The 26,436-nt window shown below is 38.2% G+C and overlaps 1 protein-coding gene across 49 annotated transcripts in view, besides 2 other annotated features; it reads right to left on the bottom strand.

Annotated features, from left to right (window-relative positions):
- Nucleotides 1–26,436, bottom strand: part of R3HCC1L (R3H domain and coiled-coil containing 1 like) — a 110,241-nt gene that overhangs the window by 58,737 nt on the left and 25,068 nt on the right. For 32 of the 49 annotated variants that reach the window (XR_007061959.1, XM_047425072.1, XM_047425065.1 and 29 more), the window contains 2 exons: nucleotides 23,186–23,278; nucleotides 22,764–22,868 (listed from right to left, as the gene is read on the bottom strand). The exons of 2 other annotated variants lie outside the window; for them this stretch is intronic. Coding sequence is in view for 1 of the 47 variants with exons in the window: in NM_001256621.2 (NP_001243550.2) it covers nucleotides 22,764–22,766 (3 nt within the window). In the remaining 46 variants the exon portion in view is untranslated. Of the gene's footprint in view, nucleotides 1–11,394; nucleotides 11,713–22,763; nucleotides 22,869–23,185; nucleotides 23,279–26,436 lie in introns of all 49 variants that reach the window. 15 more of the 49 variants (XM_047425067.1, XM_047425078.1, XM_024447941.2 and 12 more) reach the window with 2 other exon arrangements.
- Nucleotides 12,393–12,894: an enhancer, noted in NCBI's record as "NANOG hESC enhancer chr10:99933024-99933525 (GRCh37/hg19 assembly coordinates)". NCBI's record gives its function as "activates a minimal SCP1, AML or CMV promoter by ChIP-STARR-seq in primed H9 embryonic stem cells {active_cell/tissue: H9 hESC(primed)}" and the evidence as "EXISTENCE:reporter gene assay evidence [ECO:0000049][PMID:30033119]".
- Nucleotides 15,510–15,559: an enhancer, noted in NCBI's record as "active region_3863". NCBI's record gives its function as "activates an Ori minimal core promoter by ATAC-STARR-seq in GM12878 lymphoblastoid cells {active_cell/tissue: GM12878}" and the evidence as "EXISTENCE:reporter gene assay evidence [ECO:0000049][PMID:35858748]".

Here is a 26,436-nt window from a genome sequence, read left to right as displayed (position 1 = left end):
ATAAACGATAATTATGAAAGTAAACCAAGGGTCCTTTCTTCTACTCTCCCTCTGGAAAGAAGGAAGGAAACTTGGAGGTTCTACAGAAACATACCAAGATTTTTACTGGATACATCCCAAGTCTTCCCTCTTCCTCACTCTCTGTATTCAACCAATGGAAAAGTTCCACTGATCTTCACATTTGAGTATCTCTTTAATTTGCCTGGTTGTCCCTATCTCTAATGCTACTACTCCAAGTTAAAACAACACATACAAATGCCTGGATTACTGAGGTAACCTATCTAACTAGTCTTGGTAACTGCTTTGCTTCTTTGCATTCACTCTTCACCTTCCATCCAAAATGACTTTTTCAAAACCATTAGCTAGTCAGATGTCACCCTCCCTAAAGTCTTTCAATGACTTGCCACTGTTTTCATGATAAAATCAACTTAACATGGCTTAGAAGACTCTTCTTTCTAACCTGGCTCCAACCAATTTCTCCAGTCTTACCTTCTGTCACTTCTGTCTTCATATGCTTTATAGCCACATGGCTCTTCTTTCAGATTCTCAAACTCTTCATGTTGGTTCTGTGGGTTTGTTTGTTTTCCATCTTAGCTACTGGATAATCTCTTCCTTCTACCTACTCTACTTCCCTACAGCCTCCCAGCCATCTTTAACCTAATTCCTACATAATCTTTAGGTCTGCATCACAGTTCTTTCTCTGAGAAGCCTTACCTAATCATTCTAGATAAGACTGGGTGCCTCCTTCCATATACATCTCCTACTACAGCTCTTATCATTACTTTAGTATAATTACCTCTTTAATTATCCGGTCTTCCCCATTAAACTATATGCTCATTAGAGAAAGTATTATTAAGGGTACTTGCTCATCCCTATATCCCCCAACACTGAGCACAGGGCCTAGACACATAGCACAGACTTGACTTTTTTATATTGAATAAATGAACAAACAAAAATACAAATTTGGAGGAAAAAACTGAAAGGAACAGATTTAAAAGATACTTTAACCATCAAAAATCCCGTATCAATAGACATCCTCAATAAAGAAATGGGACTTCTAGGTGCTGCTTAGGATGAAGAAAGTTAGAAAGTCATTTTCACCATTAAAACAAAGTAAAAGATGGATGTTGTGCAAAATCACAAATTTTCTTGAACCCAGCACAAAAGTAAGGTAACCTTAAATCTAAGTAATTGATCTAAAATCTAAGGAAAGACAGGATTTTAAAGGGAGAGATGGGACATGAGCACTACTTTACCTATAGTAAACACCAGACACCATACAAGCCAATAAGAACTTGGTTAAAAAATTTTGTAATTACTACAAGCCAAATGTGGACCTGCAGCTAGGGGAAGCAAACAAAATCTACCCTGCTTAAAGAAGGGGCAAGATCTCTGAAAAAGCCCCATACTTGAGACCCAGAGAAAATGGAAACACCTAGCTAAAATGGAGACTGGAAAAATCCAACACAAAATGTCCTCCCCATCTCCCATCAAATGCAGGCTAGCAAGCCTCAAACAACATGTAACAGCAATGTACTACAGTCATGTGTCACGTAATGACAGGAATATGGTCTAAGAAATGCATTGTCAGGTGATTTCATTGTGAGAACATGACAGAGTATACTTACACAGACAAAGACAGTATAGCCTGTTACACACCTAGGCTATACAGTATGGTATATTATTGGTCTTAGGCTACAAACCTGTACAGCATGTTACTGTACTGAATACTGTAGGCAACTGTAACACAATGGTAAGTATTTTGTTTATCTAAACATAGAAAGGTACAGTTAAAATATGGTATTATAATCTTAGGGGACCATCATCATATATGCAGTCTGCTGTTGACCAAAACATTGTTATGTGGCGCATGACTGTTTGTGAGCAAAGAGCTAAAGCATGGAGAAATACCTTCTCTGAGATGCAAGTTCAAAGGGAAGACCTAAAGCTGAGGGTAGACATTAAGAAAAACTCTCTGACAAACTAAATCCTACCCTAAACACAAAGTAATGCTAGAGAAACTTTAAGCCTGTGGTAAATTAAAGGTAACCTAGCAATAACAAAACCCTCAACATTCCTCCCCACCACACACACACACACACGTCTCAGGAAAAGACAAAGCATGTCCATTTCCAGGCATAAATACCATTTAACTGGCTCTCTACACAAAATGTCCAGATTTCAACCAAAAAAAAAAAAAAACCGAAAAAGGAGCAAAGAAAAAAAAACAAAACAATAGAACCAGATTCGGATACAACCATCATATTAGAACTATCAAACACGGAATTTATACGTTAAATGCTCTAACGAAAAATGTAGATAATATGCATACGCAGATGTGTAATTTAAGCAGAGGGATGGAAACGGTAAGAAGAAATCAAACGGAAATGCTAGAAATAAAAATATAGTAACAGAGATGAAAGCTTTCAACAACCTTATCAGAAGACCAAGACAGTCTCAGAATCAGTAAAGACATCAACAGAAACTACTCCCACAAAACATGACAAGAGAATGAAAAACAGAGAAGAGAACATCCAAGTGCTATGGGACAATATCAAATACTCTAACATATGTGTAACTGGAATTCCAGAAAGAGAGACAATAAGACAGAAACAAAATATGAAGAGATAATAACCAAAATTTTTCAAAATTAATACAAAAGAATCCAAAAAGCTCAGAGAACACTAGGCAGCATCAAATAAACAAACAACAACAACAACAACAACAAAAATCCACAATTAGACACATTATATTCAAACTGATGGTGGAAAAAATCAAAGATAAAGAGAAAACCTTGAAGGCTGCCAGAGTTTAAAAAAAAAAAAAAAAGACACAATACAGTGGAACAGGATAAGAACTTTCAGAAATTTTGAAAGTCAGACACCACTAAAGTGCTGAAAGAAAAAACTGTCAATGCAGAAATCTATATCCATGAAAATATATTTCAAATTGAAGAAGAAATAAAAAATGTTCAGCCTTGTGGTCCATTCCAAGACGGCCGAATAGGAACAGCTCCAGTCTGCTGCTCCCAGTGTGACTGACACAGAAAACGGGTAATTTCTGCATTTCCAACTGAGGTACCTGGTTCATCTCATTGGGACTGGTTGGACAGTGGGTGCAGCCGACAGAGGGTGAGCTGAAGCAGGGTGGGGCATCACCTTACCCAGGAAGCGCAAGCGGTCAGGGGATTTCCCTTTCCTAGCCAAGGGAAGCCATGACAGACTATACAAGGAGAATCGGGACACTGCCACCCAAATACCGCACTTTTCTAATGGTCTTAGCAAACGGCACACCAGGAGATTATATCCCTTGACTGGCTCAGCAAGTCCCACAACCACGGAGCCTTGCTCACCACTAGTACAGCAGTCCAAGATCGAACTGCGAGGCAGCAGCCTGGCTCAGGGAGGGGCGTCCACCATTGCCGAGGCTTGAGGAGGTAAACAAAGCGGCCGGGAAGTTCAAACTGGGTAGAGCCCACCGCAGCTCAATGAGGCCTGCAGGCCTCTGTAGACTCCACCTCTGGGGGCAGGGCATAGCTGAACAAAAGTCAGCAGAAACTTCTGCAGACTTAACGTTCCTGTCTGACAGCTCTGAAGACAGCAGTGGTTCTCCGAGCACGGTGTTTGAGCTCTGAGAAAGGACAGACTGCCTCCTCAAGTGGGTCCCTGACCCCCCATGTAGCCTAACTGGGAGACACCTCCCAGGAGGGGCCGACTGACACCTCATATAGCCAGGTGCCCCTCTGAGATGAAGCTTCCAGAGGAAGGATCAGGCAGGAATATTTGCTGTTCTGCAATATTTGCTATTCTGCAGCCTCCGATGGTGATACCCAGGCAAACAGGGTCCAGAGCGAACCTCCAGCAAATTCCAACAGACCTGCAGCTGAGTGACCTGTTAGAAGGAAAACTAACAAATAGAAAGGAATAACATCAGCATCAACATCAACAAAAAGGAAATCCACACCAAAACCCCATCTGTAGGTCACCAACATCAAAGACCGGAGGTAGATAAAACCACAAAGATGGGGAGAAACCAGAGCAGAAAAGCTGAAAATTCTAAAAACCAGAGCGCTGCTTCTCCTCGAAAGGATCACAGCTCCTTGCCAGCAACAGAACAAAGCTGGACGGAGAATGACTTTGACGAGTTGACAGAAGTAGGCTTCAGAAGGTCGGTAGTAACAAACTTCTCCGAGCTAAAGGAGGATGTTTGAACCCATCACAAGGAAGCTAAAAATCTTGAAAAAAAGATTAGATAAATGTAACTAGAATAAACAGTATAGAGAAGACCTTAAATGACCTGATGGAGCTGAAAACCATGGCACAAGAACTATGTGACTCATGCACAAGCTTCAGTAGCCGATTCGATCAACTGGAATAAAGGGTATCTGTGATTGAAGATCAAATTTATGAAATGAAGAGAGAAGTTTAGAGAAAAACGAGTAAAAAGAAATGAACAAAGGCTCCAGGAAATATGGGACTATGTGAAAAGACCAAATCTACGTTTGAGTGGTATACCTGAAAGTGACGGGGAGAATGGAACCAAGCTGGAAGCACTCTTCAGGATATTATCCAGAAGAACTTCCCCAACCTAGCAAGGCAGGCCAACATTCAAATTCAGGAAATACAGAGACCGCCACAAAGATACTCCTCAAGAAGAGCAACCCCAAGACACATAATTGTCAGATTCACCAAGATTGAAATGAAGGAAAAAATGTTAAGGGCAGTCAAGAGAAAGGTCGGATTACCCACAAAGGGAAGCCCATCAGACTAACAGATCTCTTGGCAGAAAATCTACAAGCCAGAAGAGAGTGGGGTCCAATATTCAACATTCTTAAAGAAAAGAATTTTCAACCCAGAATTTCATATCCAGCTTCATAAGTGAAGGAGAAATAAAATCCTTTACAGACAAGCAAATGCTGAGAGATTTTGTCACCACCAGGCCTGCCTTACAAGAGCTCCTAAAGGAAGCACCAAACATGGAAAGGAACAACCGGTACCAGCCACAGCAAAAACATCAATGCTAGGAAGAAACTGCATCAACTAACAGGCAAAATAACCAGCTAACATCATAACGACAGGATCAAATTCACACATAACAATATTAACCTTAAATGTAAATGGGCTAAATGCTCCAATTAAAAGACACAGACTGGCAAATTGGATAAAGAGTCAAGACCCATCAGTGTGCTGTATTCAGGAGACCCAACTCACATGCGGAGACACACATAGGCTTAAAATAAAGGGATTGAGGAAGATCTACCAAGCAAATGGAAAGCAAAAAAAAGCAAGGGTTGCAATCCTAGTCTCATAAAACAGACTTTAAACCAACAAAGATCAAAAGAGACAAAGAAGGCCATTACATAATGGTAAAGGGATCAATTCAACAAGAAGAGCTAACTATCCTAAATATCTATGAACTCAATACAGGAGCACCCAGATTCATAAAGCAAGTACTTAGAGACCTACAAGACTCCCACACAATAATGGGAGACTTTAACATCCCACTGTCAATATCAGACAGATCAACGAGACAGAAGGTTAACAAGGATATCCAGGACTTGAACTCAGCCCTGCACCAAGCAGACCTAATAGACATCTACAGAACTTTCCACCCCAAATCAATCAACGGAATATACATTCTTCTCAGCACCACATGGCACGTATTCCAAAACTGACCACGTGGTTGGAAGTAAAGCACTCCTCAGCAAATCAAAAAGAACAGAAATCACAACAAACTGTCTCTCAGACCATAGTGCAATCAAAGTAGAACTCAGGATTAAGAAACTCACTCAAAACCACATAACTATGTGGAAACTGAACAACCTGCTCCTGAATGACGTTATTTCATAAATAATGAAATTAAGGCAGAAATAACGATGTTCTTTGAAACCAATGGGAACAAAAACACAACATACCAGAATCTCTGGGACACATTTAAAGCAGTGTGTAGAGGGAAATTTATAGCACTAAATGCCCACAAGAGAAAGCAGGAAAGATCTAAAATCGACACCCTAACATAACAAGTAAAAGAACTAGAGAAGCAAGAGCAAACACATTCAAAAGCTAGCAGCAGGCAAGAAATAACTAAGATCAGAGCAAAACTGAAGGAAATAGAGACACAAAAACCCTTCAAAAAATCAATGAATCCAGGAGCTGGTTTTTTGAAAAGGTCAACAAAATTGATAGACCACTAGCAAGACTAATAAAGAAGAGAAGAATCAAATAGATGCAATAAAAAATGATAAATGGGATATCACCACCAATCCCCACAGAAATACAAACTACTATCAGAGAATACTACAAATACCTATACGCAAATAAACTAGAAAATCTAGAAGAAATGGATAAATTCCTGGACATATACACCCTCCCAAGACAAAACCAGGAAGAATTTGAATCCCTGAATAGACCAGTAACAGGCTCCAAAATTGAGGTAATAATTAATAGCCTACCAACTAAAAAAAGTCCAGGACCAAAAGGATTCACAGCTGAATTCTACCAGAGGTACAAAGGGGAGCTGGTACCATTCCTTCCGACACTATTCCAATCAATAGAAAAAGAGGGAATCCTCCCTAACTCATTTTATGAGGCCAGCATCATCCTGATACCAAAGCCTGGCAGAGACACAACAAAAAAAGAGAATTTTAGACCAATATCCCTGATGAACACTGATTCGAAAATCCTAAGTAAAATCCCGGCAAACCGAATCCAGCAGCACATCAGAAAGCTTATCCACCAAGACCATGCTGGCTTCATCCCTGGGATGCAAGGCTGGTTCAACATACATAAATCAATAAATGTAATCCATCACATAAACAGAACCACAGACAAAAACCACATGATTATCTCAATAGATGCAGAAAAGGCCTTCGACAAAATTCAACAACCTTTCATGCTAAAAACTCTCAATAAACTAGGTATTGATGGAATGTATCTCAAAATAATGAGAGCTATTTATGACAAACCCACAGCCAATATCATACTGAATGGGCAAAAACTGGAAGCATTCCCTTTGAAAACTGGCACAAGACAGGGATGCCCTCTCTTACCACTCCTATTCAACAAATTGTTGGAAGTTCTGGCCAGGGCAATTAGGCAAGAGAAAGAAATAAAGGGTATTCAATTAGGAAAAGAGGAAGTCAAATTGTCCCTGATGCAGATGACATGATTGTATATTTAGAAAACCCCATCAACTCAGCCCAAAATCTCCTTAAGCTTATAAGCAAATTCAGTGAAGCCTCAGGATACAAAATCAATGTGCAAAAATCACAAGCATTCCTACACACCAATAACAGACAAACAGAGAGCCAAATCATGAGTGAACTCCCATTCACAATTGCTACTAAGAGAATAAAATATCTAGGAATCCAACTTACAAGGGATGTGAAGGACCTCTTCAAGGACAACTACAAACCAGTGCTCAATGAAATAAAAGGACACAAACAAATGGAAGAACATTCCATGCTCATGAATAGGAAGAATCAGTATCGTGAAAATGGCCATACTGCCCAAGGTAATTTATAGATTCAATGCCATCCCCATCAAGCTACCAATGACTTTCTTCACAGAATTGGAAAAAAACTACTTTAAAGTTCATATGGAACCAAAAAAGAGCCCGCATTGCCAAGACAATCCTAAGCCAAAAGAACAAAGCTGGAGGCATCACACTACCTGACTTCAAACTATACTACAAGGCTACAGTAACCAAAACAGCATGGTACTGGTACCAAAACAGAGATATAGACCAATGGAACAGAACAGAGGCCTCAGAAATAATACCAATATCTACAACCCTCTGATCTTTGACAAACCTGACAAAAACAAGAAATGGGGAAAGGATTCCCTATTTAATAAAGGGTGCTGGGAAAACTGGCTAGCCATATGTAGAAACCTGAAACTGGATCCCTTCCTTACAACTTATACAAAAACTAATTCGAGATGGATTAAAGACTTAAATGTTAGACCTAAAACCATAAAAACCCTAGAAAAAAACCTAGGCAATACCATTCAGGACACAGGCATGGGCAAGGACTTCATGACTAAAACACCAAAAGCATTTAAAACATAAAAAACGAAAGCCAAAATAGACAAATGGGGTCTAATTAAACTAAAGAGCTTCTGCACGGCAAAAGAAACTACCATCAGAGTGAACAGGCAACCTACAGAATGGGAGAAAATGTTTGCAATCTACTCATCTGACAAAGGGCTAATATCCAGAATCTACAAAGAACTTAAACAAATTTACAAGAAAAAACTTAAACAAATTTACAAGAAAAAATCAAACAACCCCATCAAAAAGTGGGCAAATTATATGAACAGATGCTTTTCAAAATAAGACATTTATGCAGCCAATAGACACATGAAAAAATGCTCATCATCACTGGTGATCAGAAAAATGCAAATCAAAACCACAATGAGATACCATCTCACACCAATTAGAATGGCGATCGTTAAAAAGTCAGGAAACAACAGGTGCTGAAGAGGATGTGGAGAAATAGGAACACTTCTACACTGTTAGTGGGAGCGTAAACTAGTTCTACCATTGTGGAAGACAGTGTGGCGACTCCTCAAGGATCTAGAACTAGAAATACCATTTGACCCAGCCATCCCATTCCTGGGAATATACCCAAAGGATTATAAATCATGCTACTATAAAGACACATGCATACATATGTTTATTGAGGCACTATTCACAATAGCAAAGACTTGGAACCAACCCGAATGTCCATCAATGATAGACTGGATTAAGAAAATGTGGCACATATACACCATGGAATACCACGCAGCCAAAAGAAAGGATGAGTTCATGTCCTTTGTAGGGACGTGGATAAAGCTGGAAACCATCATTCTGAGCAAACTATTCCAAGGACAGAAAACCAAACACCTTATGTTCTCACTCATAGGTGGGAATTGAACAATGAAAACACTTGGACACAGGAAGGGGAACATCACACACTGGGGCCTGTTGTGGGGTGGGGTGATGGGGGAGGGATAGCATTAGGAGAAATACCTAATGTAAATGATGAGTTAATGGGTGCAGCAAACCAACATAGCACATGTATACATATGTAACAAACCTACACATTGTGCACATGTACCCTAGAACTTAAAGTATAATAAATTAATTAATAAATTAATTTTAAAAAATGTTCAGGCAAAATGTAATTCGCCATAACAAAAGACTAACAAAAATAAAATACATGATTATCTCAATAGATGTACATAAAATATCTGACAAAATTCAACATCCATCCAGTAAACTAGGAATAGGAGAACTTCCTCATCCTGATAAATGTTATCTACAAAAAAAAAGCAGAGCAATAAAAACCTATAGTTTATATTATACTTGATGAAGAACCAAATGCTCTCCCCGTAAGATGCAAAAATAAAGTAAAGATGACCACACTTGTCACTTCTATTTGACATTAAAATGGAGGTTTTAGCCAGTGCAGCAAGGCAGAAAAAAATATAAAAGACATCCAAATTGGAAGAAAGAAGTAATACTGTCTTTATCTGCAGATGACATAATCTTCTGCATAGAAATCCCATAGAATCTCTAAGAAAGCTACCAGAACTAAGTAAGTTTAGCAAGGTTATGAGGATACAAGCAGTTCTATATTCTATCAATGAAAAAAACTGAAAATCGAAGAGTATCATTTACATCAGCACTCAAAAACATGAAATGCTTAGGCATAAATCTAACAGAGTATGTGTACAATCTATGCTGAAAACTAAAATACATTGATAAGACATCAAAAATCGAAAGAAAGATCATAAATGAGATGCCTCAATATTTAAGATATCAATTCTCCCCAAAATGATCTTTAGAATTAAATCAGAATCCAGAAGGACTTTCTACAGAAATTAAGAAGCTGATTTTAAAATGGATATGAAGAGGCATAGGAACTGGAATCGCCAAAGTAACTTTGAAAAGGGATGAAGATGGAGAACTCACACTACCTGATTTCAAGTTTACTATAAAGCTACAATAATCTCAGGTAAGTGTCACATTGGAGAAAGGGTAAACATTTAGATGTATGAAACGCAGTAAGAGTCCAGAAGAAGACTCACACATATATGAACAACTGATTTTCAAGAAATGTATAAAGGAAATTCTATGAAAAAAGAGAGTCTTTCCAAAAAATGGTGCCGAAACAAGTGGAAATTCATTTGCAACAAAAACTGTATCCATACCTCACACCACATATAAAAACTAACAAAATGAATCACAGATCTAAATGTAAACCTACAATTTTAACACTTCTATAAATAAATATAGAACAAAATCTTTGTGATTTTTGGTTTAGCAAAGGTTTCTTAGATACAACATCAAAAGCATGACCCATAAAATAAAATAATTTTTAAATCAATAAACTCGACTTTATCAAAATTCAAACTTCTGCTCTTCAAAGACATGTAAGAGAATTTTAAAAAGCCACAAACCACAAGAAAATATTTGCAAATCACATCTGATAACTTTCATCCAGAATCTCAAAACTCAGTGTCAAAAAAACAACAAAATAATTTAAGAATACTTCACCAAAGAAGATATAAGGATGGCAAAAAAGATGCTCAAAATCATTTATCATTAGAGAAATACAATTCCAGTTACACAACATCCTGGAAAATACAAAACTGTAGAGACAGAAAACATACCACTGGTTGCCAGAAGCTTGGGGTCAGGTAAGGGGCTGACTATAAAGTGACAAGGGAATTTTTTGGATGGATGGAACTGCTCTCTCTGCATTTTAATTGTGTGGGAGTTACACAACTGCATGTTTGTCAAAATTCACAAAATGTACTCTATGAAACGTGAAGTTTGCCATATATAATCTTAAGTTTTTTAATGAAAAAAATGACATCTCTTTAAAATTCCTGCTAAAATACAGCTGACAGCACTGACCCTTTAATTTCTGATTCTTGGCTTTAAAATATGCCTGTCTAGTAGCCAGGAAATAATCAGTATAGCCTTAATGAAGTTATCTGTAAGACTGACGGTTTCTTTCTTAAATCTTGAGGCCATAGTCTTTCCCAATTTAATTCTGCAGTCATTACTTAAAACTTCATTGACTTACTCAACTTTGCACGCGTTAACGATGAGAAACTTGGTCTCCTTTGACTGTCAACTCTATCATCTCTTCCATATATAACCGAACTACACAATCCTTTGCACTGCACTCGGGTAGATACAGAAAACTATATTTTTAATTTGAACGGTTTTATTTTGAACTACAGAGGAAAAGAGGGCTCCGAGAATGCCAAGGTAATCTGGCAATTCCAAATAACATTACGAACATCAATATGTAAGAATTTTTTCTAAAATACATTTTTTTCTAGACTTTCTCACTCAAAACCTTAGATTCACCAGAGCATACAATATATAAACTAGGCTTACCTTGCATTTAAGATTTTCCATGATTTGGTGTCAATCTACAATTTCAATAATACTTCTATCATTCTCAGACACAAAGTCTCCATTCTGGGCAGGATGGCCTCATTGTCTGCTCCTTCCAACTTCTGAAATGCCCTCCTTGATAATGTCTAACGCCCTCCTAAATGAGTTGTGTTTAAACTGAGACATCTCATTGTTGTTATATCACTCTCATTATATACTCCTTTATATTCTTATTCAACTGTTTCATTTATGAATGCCATCTCACACTCTACAAGTTTCTTGAGGGCAGATAGTATCTTTCATATGCTGCTTTTATCCCTGGGAATACAATAAATATTCACAGAAAAATTAATGTAAGAACTGATTTTAAATTACTTTAGATCTTATACTAATTTTAAATTAATTCAATAACTTCCTGGAAGTTTATTTTGTACTTTGAGAAACGGAGGCAACGGGCACTAGAATTTGTTCCCTGAGATCTCAGCCCAATTCATCTTCGTATCTCCAGAGCTGAATACAATGCCCGACACATGAAAAACATTAAAACACTTAAATAGTTAACTAAATTTCACTTTCTAAGGCCACAGAGTAAGAAATGGAATCCTGAAGTTCTAGTCCAATTCTCCCAAGATTGTATTAGTACTTTGAAATGTTCTCTAATTTCTCATATTTGTTCACATATTCTCCCTGAATATACTACAAGTATAGCAAACATAAAAGTTGTTCTATCTCCTCTTTTTAAAGCTCAAAAAGCAACCATTACAGTATTGAGTGCAGGCATAGCAGGTGGGCAATATTCCTATCAGATTTCTTAAAAAGCAACATACACGCAGCTCACAGACACTTCTCTGCCCCATGTAAAAACACGTTAGATACTCTTCCTATTGGGAAGATTTATTTTTCATCATCTTTGGCACAAGTTCTAGAATGCTATCTGCCAGGCCCCATGCCCCAATAAATATGCATCCACAAGCAATTATGGAGATAGATAGCTTATGGGGAGGGGGCACTATTTGGTCAGGTCCCAATGCTAACCTGTGGTTAGGGGGAAAAAAGAGTAGGGGGAGGGGTGTGGCCCTGTGATTAATCACTGCCCACTCTGCTTAGGGGTATTTATCACAGCCCGCTGTCAGGTAAATCACTGGAAAAACACCTCTTCAGTAATTAATGCGAAGTGACGGATGGACAGCCCCTGGGCCCATTAATCAGGAACATCAGCAGCCTACTGAGATTATGAATGTCAGGATGCATAAACTGCCGGTGGATCAATAGGCCCAGGAATTCATCCAAGGCTCTCATTTCCGAAGCATCTCCGGTACATTAGGCTCCCTCTACCCCTCCCCCAGTCTGAAGTGAAAAGCAAGGTTTCAGAACAAAGAGCAGGAGCTGAGGTCTAAAGTGATCAGTGAGAGAAAGCAGTCAAGGAAGCTGGCTATGGCTAGGGATGGTACCAGGACAGGCAACATGAGCACAGAGCTACACTAAGAGGCTCTCTCAGAAGGCTCAATGTTCCTGCAAAAGAACCAGGAAGACATGGTACACAACCAATTATTCAGAGCCTAACTGTCCATTTTAGGGATCATCCATTTTCTTGCTTCGAATTTTTTACCCATTTCCCCATCTACATTTTCTTTCCTTTCATATTAGCACCACCAAAGAGAGAAGAAAGAAATAAGAGAATGAAAATTCCATTTCTGCAACCTAACAATCTAGGTAAAAATTTTGATTTAAGAAAAACAAGAATTTATATAAAATGAAATCAGTAAATTACCTTTACCTCATCCCTAAGTACCACAATGACAGAATTACTGTAAGTACCCAGAGTGTTAAGCAAAAAAATTCCCCACCGAAAGGGTCTGCTCAACTTGTAAAATTTTTAGTCTGGAGCTGAAAGACTATTTCTGTCTACTTGTCATCCCAAGTTTAGTCAAATTTTGTATGGGAAGTAAGCTTGGGCTACAGCCTCATACTGAATACATACTAGGCTGGCAGTGACGGGAAGGAGACTGCACTTGCTGCCACATCCCGCCAAACCCCAGTGCTGTGCTTTGTGGTCAGACTCAGGCCAGGGCTGCAATTGTTGGTTAGAAAGTATTTCAGAGTTACGGCTGCCTGTTCCGCTAAATCTCATTTCATCCTACTGATGGATGGATGGACAGATGGCTGCCTGGTGAAAGCAGCATTATCAGCCAGCTTCTATGGAGCCTCCAGATGATGGATAGCCCTCTTTCTACTTTCTCCAAACCACCATCGATCCAAGCCATATTTCAGCGGTCAGAAGCCCAGTAATATTAAGACACACAATCAAGTTAAGTTACTTGCAGTGTAAACCTCTAGAACAGAAATCCTAACACCTCAGCTTTGCTGTCATGAACCACGCTAAAAATGTTACAGTTTCATTCTTTCTAGCTGCTAACCCAATGAATTCCAACAGCTCAAGCCCAAAGGGAATAGCTGGGCTCCATTCCTAGCAGCTACTTGAAAAGCTAGTTTGCCTGCCAAATTTTTTACTAGCCAGTTCATTTCTGTGAAATGAACTCTGCAGCAGTAGTGAGCGGATCTGTGAATACGTGTATATCCCGTGGAGTGTAAAGCTATTAGAATCATCAAACAACCTAGAGTTTGTCAGTGATATAATCACTAGCCTCAAACATGTGTAGAGCCTTAGACATACCAAATAGACCTTTTCTACCAACACCAAGGATAGCGATTAAAACTAGGACAGATTAAAATTATCTTTTGAACATAATCCTAAAATGTTGTTTCTACCCAGTCAGCCTGACTGGCTTCTACTCTCTTGCATACATATTAAACATAATAGTAAGTACTAATCCTTGCCTGCTTTCACAAGCACACTTCTGAGTCCATTTGCTCTATCACATTCTAGACACTCATCTCAGCTTGTCTACCGTGCCTTTCCTTGTTCCTTCCATCTTATCATCCTGAGCTCTCAGACAGCAACTTGGACTTGTATAATCGAATGTTGTGTCAAAGTTATTTCCACTGGTGTGGCTGGAAGAAATGGATTCTGACTCCAGCTTCATGACATAGGTTCCCAGAACCTACATGCTCTCTTTTGCTAAGCTTACTTATCCCCAAATGACTTCTTCTCATAATGTTTCACTATTAACTATACCCGAAATCAGCTTGGCCTGGCTCCTCCTAGTCTTGGCCCCTCTTGATTGAACCACTGCTATCCTGAGCCTATATTCACAGAGAATTAGTTTGTATTTGTTTATGGGGCCAAAAAAATGCCACGGTGGAGCAGTAACTGTCTTTCTATTTGATGTCATGATAGTTTACTTCTTTAATATCTATGCCTTAACAACATCTAGAGCTCTGTTTCTATCAAAAAAGAACATGCTATTGTTTAAAGATACTACTTTATTAAAGTGTTGTATTAAGAATAGCACTGCCCTTCAAATAAACATTAAAGAATTTTTACAGAGCCTTGGAATTAGACTTACCGAAAGGGATTGTATAGGTCAGAATTCAACATCCTAGTTTTTCAGATAAAGATACTGAGAATTCAAAATTGTAATGTCTGTGGTTACACAGATATTAAGTGGCAATGCAAGACTGGAACCTTGGTTACAATTATAAGGGCTGTGCTCACGCTACTATATTTCTCAGACATTCTGTTTTCATCCTTGGAATTTCAGAGAGAGTGAAGGCAATGAGGGTTAAGTGTTGTGTGCATGCCTATGTGTTTTGGGGAAGGAAGGTGGCCACAAATAATTAAGTGTGGTGACCTATATACTATTGTGCTTCCCATCAAGGTTGCCCATAGGTCATCTGAAAGCTATTCACTATCTTACAGAACAAAATTGGATGAATAGCTGACAATTAGATACCTCTATTCCTTTCTTCTCCTTTCTTTAGTATCTGCCCCAGCCCTACCCAGAAAGTTTTAGAAAGATAATAAGTGAAAGCAGAATCAGAGAGCAAGAGGCTCTATGACTTAACCTAAATGAACAGAGGGTCAATGTGTCCTCTTCATTTCCAAGAATGCCACATTCTGGTCAAATACAGAGCACAACTTCAATGACTGGACTTCACCCTCTGGTGGCCAAAATGTGTCACTACTACATTTCCCAGTTTCTAAGCCACCTGCATACCTATCTTCAAATCTTATAGCTGAAGCCAGGCACAGTGGCTCACGCAGGCAATCCCAGCACTCTGGGAAGCCGAGGTGGGAGTACTGCCTGAGGCCAGGAGTTCAAGACCAGCCTGGGCAACTTAGCAAGACTCTGTCTCTAAAAAATTAAAACAAGATAAAAAATTAGCTGGGAACGGTAGCACATACCTGTAACCCTCACTACTTGGAAGGCTGAGAGGGAGGGAGACTGCTTGAGCCCATGAATTTGAGGGTGCAGTGAACTATGATTGTGACACTGTACTCCAGCCTGGGTGACAGAGCAAGACCCAGTCTCAAAACAAACCAACAAAAAGCTTATAGCTGAAAAGAGCCTTTGAAAATCATCTGGTTGAGGGATTTATCTAAGACTATTAGAGTGGTAGTAACTAAGACCAGAACCCAGATTGTCTATCAACTAAACTAGCAGTTTTACCACCATTATAGCAGTATTATCAGTTTTCCACCGAGTATATGCTCACAATATATGCTGAGCAAAGTTTAATCAGGAAGTTAATTGTGCTGAAGAAATAATCACATAATGCACATCAAATCCAAATATATTATCCACACTAATACTCATTACCATTAAGGATAAATGATCAGGGTGATTTTTCCATCCCATTCCCCCAAAAATGTGCCTCATACACTGGACAAGACTTCTACTGTGACTATTCTTGGCACAAGAAAAAAACTTCAAACAATTCCCAAAAAAAAGCACTCACTCCAAAAAAAAAAAAAAAAAAAGGTTGTGTTAGGTGAGTAATAAGGAATGACAATTCTTCGAGCTGTTAGTTTTACATATTCCCTAAGCTCATATAAAGGCTGATTTATTTGCATTAAGCAAATACATTTTAGAATAACTAGTTTTGTACACTCATTTGCAAAGCTATCTTAAACCAAGACAAAGATTCTTATCTTTCATTTTAAAAAGTCTTTTTATAGTTTCTACTTAGTTAAGAAAGAACTATTAAGCCATGCCCAAGAGAACAATGACATATTTTTCAAAATCTGCCGCGATGAACCATGTCTAATTGTGTTTTCTGTTTCATTACAGTTTAGGCCCTACAAGCAAAAGTGAAGTAGTGGTAGAGCAGTGATTTAGTAGTAGTAGAGGAAGAGAAAGAAGAATAATCAGCTACCATTTACAGAGTGCTTACTACATGACAGGGACTGTGGTAAACATTGTATATACATTATCTCATTTGGTTCCAACTATAGTACTAAGAGATAGCTATGATTATCCCAATTTTATATAGGAGAAATCTGAAGCTTAAATAACTAAAGATCACACAACTTCTAAGTGTTGGTTAGGATTTCAAAGTCCCTGCACTTAACTACTAGACTAGACTGCCTGATATTCAGCAGAATGGTCTCACAATGATGCATTAGTTTCATAAATATTCACAATTTGCTTAGAATCCATGTAACTGCAAAACAACCAAAAAGAGTTCAAAGACTGCTGCCGTAAAAGGAGAAAACCAAGTAAGATAAGAATGAAAGATCTTTAATGCTTTCATGGCATGCCTATTTCCAATAACCTTCCAGACTTAAAAAGGCTGACAATAATTCACTGTTGTCTCTGAAACTTCCTCATTCACCTTGCCTCACCCTCAAAAGCCATATGGTAAAGAACCTCACCAGGTGTCAGGAGAGGAACACCCTCTCTTCTATTCCGCATAAGAATAATCTCTATACTTCTTCCTACCAACTCCTCCAAGCATTTGAAAATGCTGCCCTTCTCTACTTTCCTTCTCCAGAGGCACATTTCAACATGGGACCACCAACCAGTGAAACTGGTAACACAGTTCTCACCCTGGCAGAAGCTCAAAGTAGAATGTAGAGTATACGTTCAAATCTTGGGTCTAAAACAGAAGAAACCTGTACATCAAATACCAACTGCAGATGGTATTTTCAGATGCAATCTTAAACAGAATATAATACAGTATTTTAATATTAGTCTGCCTCTGCCTTGGACATTTATATTTACTGCCTCTGCCTCTCTGCCTGCAGCTGGACAAAGAATACAGCTTGCACAACTGGAAGAAACATTTCATGAAAAAACTGAGTATCAAGACAACAAAAGATACAAGATACATGATTCCAGTAGGATCTTGGAGGTCCCAAAATATATAAATAAACTGGCATGAAAAGGTCTTTCTCACGACATAACACAATTCATGCCCCCAGCTTATTTTATACTACACTGGCTATAGTCGTCATGCATCAGCACCAACTGATTTCACGCTTTATAGGCTGGGAAACAGTCCGCAGCTTAGTCTTTTTCACACTCCACTGACAAGGTAACCACACAGCTCACCGACTTAACTGCTCCAAGTTTAATGTTAGCACCTATTATTGACCACCTCAAAAGGCAGTCAGATAAAAGCTTTAATATACCGAACAATGGCAATATAATATGTAATACAAAGGTAGAGAGAAAAGTTTGCTTCCTACTCTGCATATGTAACTGGCGGTAGGGGGCAGGGAGAGAAGAAAAAAACTCCCTCTTAAAACTTCTTTCCCTCAATACACATCTGGAGGTTGGTCTGCTTCTACAGTTATTTGAAATTAGTTCCTCTCCTGGGTCTATTCTGGGTTTAACTGACATCCTATAGTTGACAATAAAGGAGCTCAAATGGATAAAGCTTTGGGGGCTTTACCTCAACCTTGACATGCATTAAACTTGATTTCTTTTCCTCTTTAAGATTCACAGAGTAAAGCTAATAAACCACTGGGTAAATTTTGAAAGTAGAAGCCACCAGACTCAATCTCAGCTAAGTGTCATATATGTTATCTCATTTTATCCCAACTACAATACTAAGAGGTAGCTATTATTATCCCAACTTTACAGATGAAAAATCTGAAACTTAAGTTACTTAAGATTACACAGTTTCCAAGTGCTGGATAGGATTTCAAAGTCCGTGGATTGGATTTCAAAGTCCCTGCATCTAACTACTACTGTAAGACTAAAACACATATCTTCTAAAAATTATGTTGGGGTAAAAATGCATAGCCCAGAATGCTAGTCTGGCTACAGCCAAAGGTTCATTGTAGCAAAGCTATTTATTTTGTATGTATGTTTGTAAAAATGCATAGCACAGAACAGTTTAATTTTTAAAATACCAAATCACAGTAACAACAAAAATGAATACTTATAAATGAGGTAGAGTCTGTCTGTTAGAGAAATAGCTACAGCTCCGTATCTATCACCTCCCTCCTTGGAGCTATACCAGCAGGTGTGAAATGTGCCTGGTGAGAAACTGAGAAACCAAAAGCAAGTTTCAGGCAAAGAAAACATTAACAAGTTAATAAATTTAAGAGTTTCTCTTCTATGCAGTTTCAAAGTTTATTCATTAGAGTTCCAAGAATAACAAATAATTACAATACAGTAAAATCTTCAAAGCAACGTTACTTTAAGGAACAGAATGCCTGTACACAGGGCTACAGAAGGCTTTCAAGAAGAATCATGTCCTGAACGAACATGGCTCAGGTATTTAAACTGAATTCTTATCTAGTATTCTTATGATACAAAGAGAAAGATAATTGTTAAAGATGGGTAAAAGCTAACAATAGGCAATGGCATTTTTTTTTTACCATCAAATACTTATTAAGTGCACATATTGTATTGACATCACTGCTGGGGTAGTAGAAATTATAAAGTAGGGGTCAGGCGCGGTGGCTCACGCCTGTAATCCCAGCACTTTGGGAGGCTGAGGTGGGCAGATCAGGAGGTCAGGAGATCGAGACCATCCTGGCTAACACGGTGAAACCCCATTTCTACTAAAAATACAAAAAATTAGCCAGGCATGGTGGCACGCACCTGTAGTCCCAGCTACTCGGGAGGCTGAGGCAGGAGAATCGCTTGAACCTGGGAGGCAGAAGTTGCAGTAAGCCGAGAGAGTAAAAATGAAGCTTCCCCTTAAGATGTCTCTACCTAATTGGAAAGATTGTTTTAATGTTGTTTTAAGGGAATATATGTCTCTAACTACCAAATAAAGAGAAAAGCAGTAAATGATAGAAACCAGAGGAGAAAAATATCACTAAGGGCTTGGAATGGGTGAGGAAAATGTCATAAAGTGGGTGGAACTGAGGCTAGGCCTTTAGAAACAGATTTAGAAGTTCAGACACAGAACTGAGGGGAGATATTACAAGTGGAAAGAATAGACTCAACATGTGAAGACGCAAAAAGTCAGAGTGTTATTTTGGAGACTTACAGAAACTGGTTGTCTTAGTTCATGCTGCTATAACAAAGTACCACAGACTGGGTGGCTTAAAAACAACAAAAATTTCTCACAATTCTAATAGCTAGAAGTCCAAGATCAGGGTGCCAGCATGGCCTGGTTCCGGAGCAGGCCCTCTTCCAGGTTGCAGTAGGTTGATTTCCCATTGTATTCTCATACAGCAGAAACAGAGCAAGCTAGCTCCCTGGCTTCTTCTTGGTTTGTTTGTTTGATTTTTGAGACAGAGTTTTCACTCTTGCTGCCCAGACTGCAGTGCAATGGTACAGTCCTAGCTCACTGCAACCTCCACCTCCGGGTTCAAGTGATTCTCCTGCCTCAGCTTCCCAAGCAGCTGGGATTACAGGCATGTGCCACCAGGCCAGCTAATTTTTTGTATTTAGTAGAGATGGGGTTTCACCATGTTGGTCAGGCTGGTTTCGAACTCCTGACCTCAGGTGAGCCACCCGCCTTGGCCTCCCAAAGTGCTGGGATTACAGGCATGAGCCATCGCACCTGGTCCCTGGCTTCTTCCTATAGGGGAAGCCATGTCATTCATGAGGGCTCCACCTTCATGACTAAATTACATCCCAAAGGCCCCACCTCCAACACCATCACATTGGGGACCAGATTTCAACATATGAGTTTAGGGGGAACACAAACATTCAGTCCCCAATATTAGTCTGGCTACAGCCAAAGGTTCATTGTAGCAAAGCTATTTACTTTGTATAACTATTCTCATACTGAAAGAAAGAACTGAACCATAACTTGCCCACATTAAATTCCACTCCACAATCCAAATAATATCCAGAAATTCTTGTCTTTGATGTCTGACAATGCTTGCTATAAAAACAGTAACAGCGGATAGCATACGTATCAAATCAATCCAATAAATAAATAACAAGATGTACATTTGTCTGAGATAAAGGCCTAGCCATTGTGGATCTAAATATGGTAACTGGCCTTACTACTACTATAATAATTCCTGGAAAAGATAAGCCCTATCCCCATTACCCTTACCTTTATAGTTTCATTTCCTGGTATGATGTGGTATTTCTAGTCTCCTCAAAAGTTTTAATTCCATCCAACCCATACTTTCATCAATAGAACATAGAACCTTACAGGGTTTTTTGTTATTTGATTTTTTGAGACAGAGTCTCATTCTGTCGCCCAGGCTGGAAGTGCACTGGCGCAATCTCAGCTCACTGCAACATCCGCCTGCCTGGCTCAAGCAAGGAATAGCTTGTCTCAGCCTCCAGAATAGCTGGGATTACAGGCGTACACCACCATGCCCAGCTAATATTTTATATTTATAGTAGAGACAGGGTTTCCCTGTGTTGGCCAGGCTGGTCTCGAACTCCTGGCCTCAAGTGATCTGCCCACCTGGGCCTCCCAAAGTGCTGGGATTACGGGGGTGAGCTGCCATGCCCAGGCAACTTTACAGTTTTGATGACAGAATCAATAACACCTTGAAAGGAAAGGTGAAATACACTATTTCCACCCCACCTTCTAGCTGTTTATTTCACAGCTGTATTAGCAGAACCCAACAACTAAAACACCTTCCATTCAAATTGCCCACAAAACTTAGAAACTGCTCTGCTCTTCTCTCACTTCTTCCCCTCCCCACCTCCTCTAACTTACACACAACCACCTCACTCTGCTGTCCATCTTCCCCAACTGCTGCCCAACAATTCACAGGCTGTCACAGATTGTCAGCACTGCATCTGGGGACTTGAGAAGTACTCTTGTGGGACAGCACAGTGTGTTAGTACAGCATTTTCCCAGACACAGTGTCACTCTTTATAGCCAGCTGCAAATTAGTTTCTTCTTAAAAAAAAAAATAATACTCCTAATAAGACAGGTACAAGGAGATTTCAAATAACCAAGATTAAAACTCACTTTGATTTGCTCTGAGATGTAGGCCTTTTCAGTCATCCACAATGAAATCCTATGCTTCTACTCACATGAGCCATGCAAAACATCCAGAAATACCTAAGACAGTATTCTGATGCTGACAAAAGCAAGAAGACTAAGAAAAAACAAATCTAAGGATAATCTTGTTCCTCTCTTTTTTCTGTGCCTATAGTTCCTCATCCCTGGATTCTATTTGAGACTAATTTGTTTGAACTCAGCTCTCAACATCAACATTTATTTCTCACTGTGTTTAGCTGCACAAAACTATTTAAGAGAAAATTCGGCAAATCACCATTATCATGTCATAGTTTCCATCCAATTTTTGCAATGTGCGTCAGCAGCACATGAGTATATTTATCTTCTGACGGTTGCTGTGACCAACCCTCTGGTTACCCCTAAAGCTATCACCCTGCACATCGGCTGGCCCATCGTCACTGGCTACACAGGAGAGTCAGAAGCTGGAATATACTCAAAAGATCATCATTAGATGTGAGTAAGAAAGCCTCTCACAAAACAGCAGGTCATATCAACTTACTAAATCTTCCTTGAAAAAAAAATTTTTTTAACTGACAACAAATACTTATAGGGTAATATTTAAAAGTTAAAATCAGCTATCTTTTTTCATTTCTAAGTTATTTAATAACATTATTCATTCTGTTTTATAATACTTTACTATTTAAATGACCATCTATTCTTCCTGAATCAGTTAATCAAACCCTTAAAATAACACTGCATCTTTGCTGCTCACTATATGAATTACAGGGAAGCCAGGACTTGACAAGAAGGATGTTAACTCTCAGCTGTTACAGTGGAAAGAGACAGAGCAAAGCTAGTGATCCAACTTTGAAAACGAATCCCAATATTTAAACAGCCCCTGTTCTCCTCTCTACTACAAACAATAAAATTAAGACAGATAGTAAATAGAAGTAAGAAAATCTTCAAAAGACCCTATACCTTTCAGGAAACTGCCATTTTCAAACTTGTTTTACATGACAGTTACAAAATAAAATGATAACTGAAGAAACAAAATACAAGCAAACAAATCTTTAGAGTAAACAGACAGTATTTCTATAAAATATGCATAAGTAAAGGCAACTTACCATGTAAGTAACATTTATTTTCTTAGTAATAAAACTCTACAACATGCCGATAGACTGTCTCTGAAGGCAAACTGTGTAAAAGTTCCTTTCTGACAGCAGCCTCACCTGAAAAATAGTAATAATAAGTTATTTTTATAAAAATACACAGTTATTTCTTTGACACCTGTCTAGGCACTTAACTTTCATTGTCTCACTTTGTAAATCTAAGAGTTTAACACAGTGATTTGCCATAGAATGTGCAATGAAGACACACATACAAAAGCACTTTTTAGAAGCTCATCAACCAAATGGAATAAGGAAATGCCATCTTCTGTCATTCTCAGACCTGAGGACAGGAAAGTCTACTGACTGTCAACAAAAAAAAGAGATAAGACACAAAATAATAAAAATCACAAAAAGAGGCCAGGCGTGGTGGCTCATACCTGTAATCCCAGCACTTTGGGAAGCCGAGGCAGGCAGACCACTTGAGCTCAGGATTTCGACACCAGCCTGGACAACATGGCAAAACTCCGTCTCTACAAAAAATATAGAAATCAGCCAAGCATGGTAGCATGCACCTGTACTCCCAGCTACTCAAGAGGCTGAGGTGGGAACATTGCTTGAGCCCAGCAGGTCGAGGCTGCAGTAAGCTGTGATGGCACCACTGCACTCCAACCTGGGTGACAGAATGAGATCCTATCTCAAACACACACACACACAGAGACACACACACACACACACACACAAACACACACACACGAACAGATGTTCAACTTCTAGTCATCACTACAGTTTTAATACATGGGATAGCTTACAGAACATGGTGGATACTCAGTAAGTATATGCTGGCCAGCTGAATGGTAGATGGATAAAAAATAAAACTCATCAGTTAGCAAAGAAATGCAATATAAACATATTTTGTTTTGCTATCAAACTGGCAAATATTAAAAAAGAGCAATAAGGTTCTGTTTTGCTGAATGTCAACAGAATAGGGCTCAAACACAGTGTTAGTGGAGGTATACATTTTATTAATATGGAAAGCTGTTAACAATATGTTTCAGAAACTTTTATGTGTCAAAAGACCTTTGATGAGGCAATTCTCCTTTGATAAATTTATCATAAGGAAGTAACTAGACTTCTACAAGGATATTTACTTATTCCAGAACTGTTTACAATAGTGAAAAATTTTAAATAACTTTAATGTCCACCAATATCAGCCAGGTTAAATAAATTATGGTACATCCACACTGTAGAAAATCATGCAGACATACAAAAGAAAGATCTACAAGGCATATTATTGAGCTGAAAAAAAAAAGGAGAATTTATCGAGGAGTTAAATACGAAGAAAACTTTAAAACATTCCTGAAAGACACAAAAGTAGATCTGAACAAATGGAAAGATATTCTTTGTTCTTGGACAGAAATCTCAGCACAAAACAACAGCATTAAAAAGTCAGTCTTCCATGTTAATTTATAAATTTAACATAACCCCAATAAAAACACCTGCAAGCTTTTTCATTGAGACAGAAAAGCTGATACTAAAGTTCAACAGAAAAACAGACATGCAAGAATAGTCAGGAAAACACTAAAAATTTTAAAAGCTAGCCCTTGATATACTATTAAGCCTCTATAATTGAAAGTGTGTGATAATGGCACAGAAATAGAAAGTCCAGAAGTAAACCAAATGGAAATTTCATATATGATAAAGGTAGCATATCAAAGAACACTGGGGCAAAATTCGTCTTTTTATTCATTTTTAAAGAAACCGTACCTCCAAATGGATCAAGGATCCAAATTAACAACTAAAACTACAGAAGTATTAGAAGAAAACACAGGTGAGTTATTTACCATGGGTCCAAGGAAAGCCTCTAAATTTAATCCAAAATTCAGATAAAACAAAAAACTCTAAAACTGGACTACATAAAGGTCTAAACATTCATACCTACGCACAAACACTACAAACTGGGAGAAAATATTTGTAACATACATCACCAGTAAAGAGCTAATATTCCTAATATATTAAAAACTCCTAACAACTGAGAAAGGGGAGGGGACCAAAAACCTGATGGAAAAATGAAGATATATTTCACACAAAAAGATATAAAAATGACCCTTAAACATATGAAAAGATGTTCAACTTCACTAATAACAAGAGAAACAAACATTAAAACTATATTGAGATACTATTTCTTACCTATCAAGTTAGCAAAAATTAAAAAGTATGCCAACACACTCTGATGATGAGGTTGTGGGGAAACTAACCCTCTCATACCCTGCTGATGGGAATTCAAATTCGTACAACCTCTGCAGAAAGGGATTTAGCAATATTTAAGAAAACTACATATGCTTTTAACTTTTGGCCCAACCATTCCATTTTGAAAATTTACCCAAAAATACACCTCCAACATACCAAAATACATATGGACAAAGTTGCAGCACTTTTTGTAAATTCAAAATATTAGAAACAGCATAAGAGTACAAAAGAGTATCTATAGTATGCTACCTTTTGTGTAAGAATGAAAGACAAATTAGAAAATGTGCATCTATCTCCTCAATCCTGAGGGGGGAAAAACACATGAAGGATAACTGGTGGAATCATGAGATTGGTAACCTACAGAGGTCAGGTTAGAGTGTGAAGGACAGAAGGAATGGGTGACAGTGCCCTGAGTATAAACATTTTTGTAGAGTTCTGACTTTTGGAAACATGTTGATGTTTCACATACTGAAGAATAAATAAGATCAATTAGGATCAAGTGAAAAAGACAGAATACAAACAGAAATAAATGAAGTACACTGTATTTCAAATGAGTAACATAACCCCAGGGAGAAGGGAAAGAATGTTAGAGAAGGAAAATTAATCCAAGTAACTTTTGAACACGGTTTTTATATCAGCACATTCTAATAGAAATATAATGGAGCCACATATGTAATTTAATATTTTCTAGTAGCCACATTAAAGTGAAATTAATTTTATTAATATATTTTATCTAATACACTTAAAATATTTCAACACATAATCAACATAAACTATTATTAAAATATCAGTGAGATATCTCATATTTATTTTGTAGTAAGTTTTCAAATCCAATGTACATTTTACACTTGTAACACATCTCTATTCATGTGGCTAGTAGCTACCCTATTATTACACAGCACAGATTTAGACTACCTGCCCTTAGGCTAAACGAAAAACACTATAAACAAACATTGAATTCTACTTACGAGGTATCTTTTAAGTGGTGGTATGAGTTAACAATTCTTAAACTATTTTCTTATATTCTAGAGTTGAACCAATAAGCAAAAATATGAGTAATAGGGCCAGGTTTCTCATTGTTGGAAAACAGAGCTATAAATAAGGAATGAGGAAAGGAAAGAATAAACCCTGTAGTGTTGGGTCAGAATCTGAGGTATCTGTATAAACTCACTGCTTTTAATAAAGATGTACTAGTGTGTGCACACATACAAACACACACATTTCCTCCTCTCACATATACCTATTTCCCAGATGTCAGCTGAGAAGGCCTAGAAGCAATAACAGTTGCAACCAGGACATCTAGAGTCCAGACTGTGGCTTTTAAAGTCATTATTAAAAGGAACCAGGGCTCTGAGAAGAAATTCCTTATTCCAAGGCTGGGGCTGGGAACATGCAAGATGAGCCTAGAATACATGCTCAAAGAATGACAGGGGCATGTCAA

The sequence above is a fragment of the Homo sapiens genome, chromosome 10, assembly GCF_000001405.40.
Source record: "Homo sapiens chromosome 10, GRCh38.p14 Primary Assembly".
Lineage (NCBI taxonomy): Eukaryota > Metazoa > Chordata > Mammalia > Primates > Hominidae > Homo > Homo sapiens.
The sequence above is the reverse complement of the archived record's forward strand: the minus strand, read 5'-3'. Positions and strand labels throughout refer to the sequence as shown.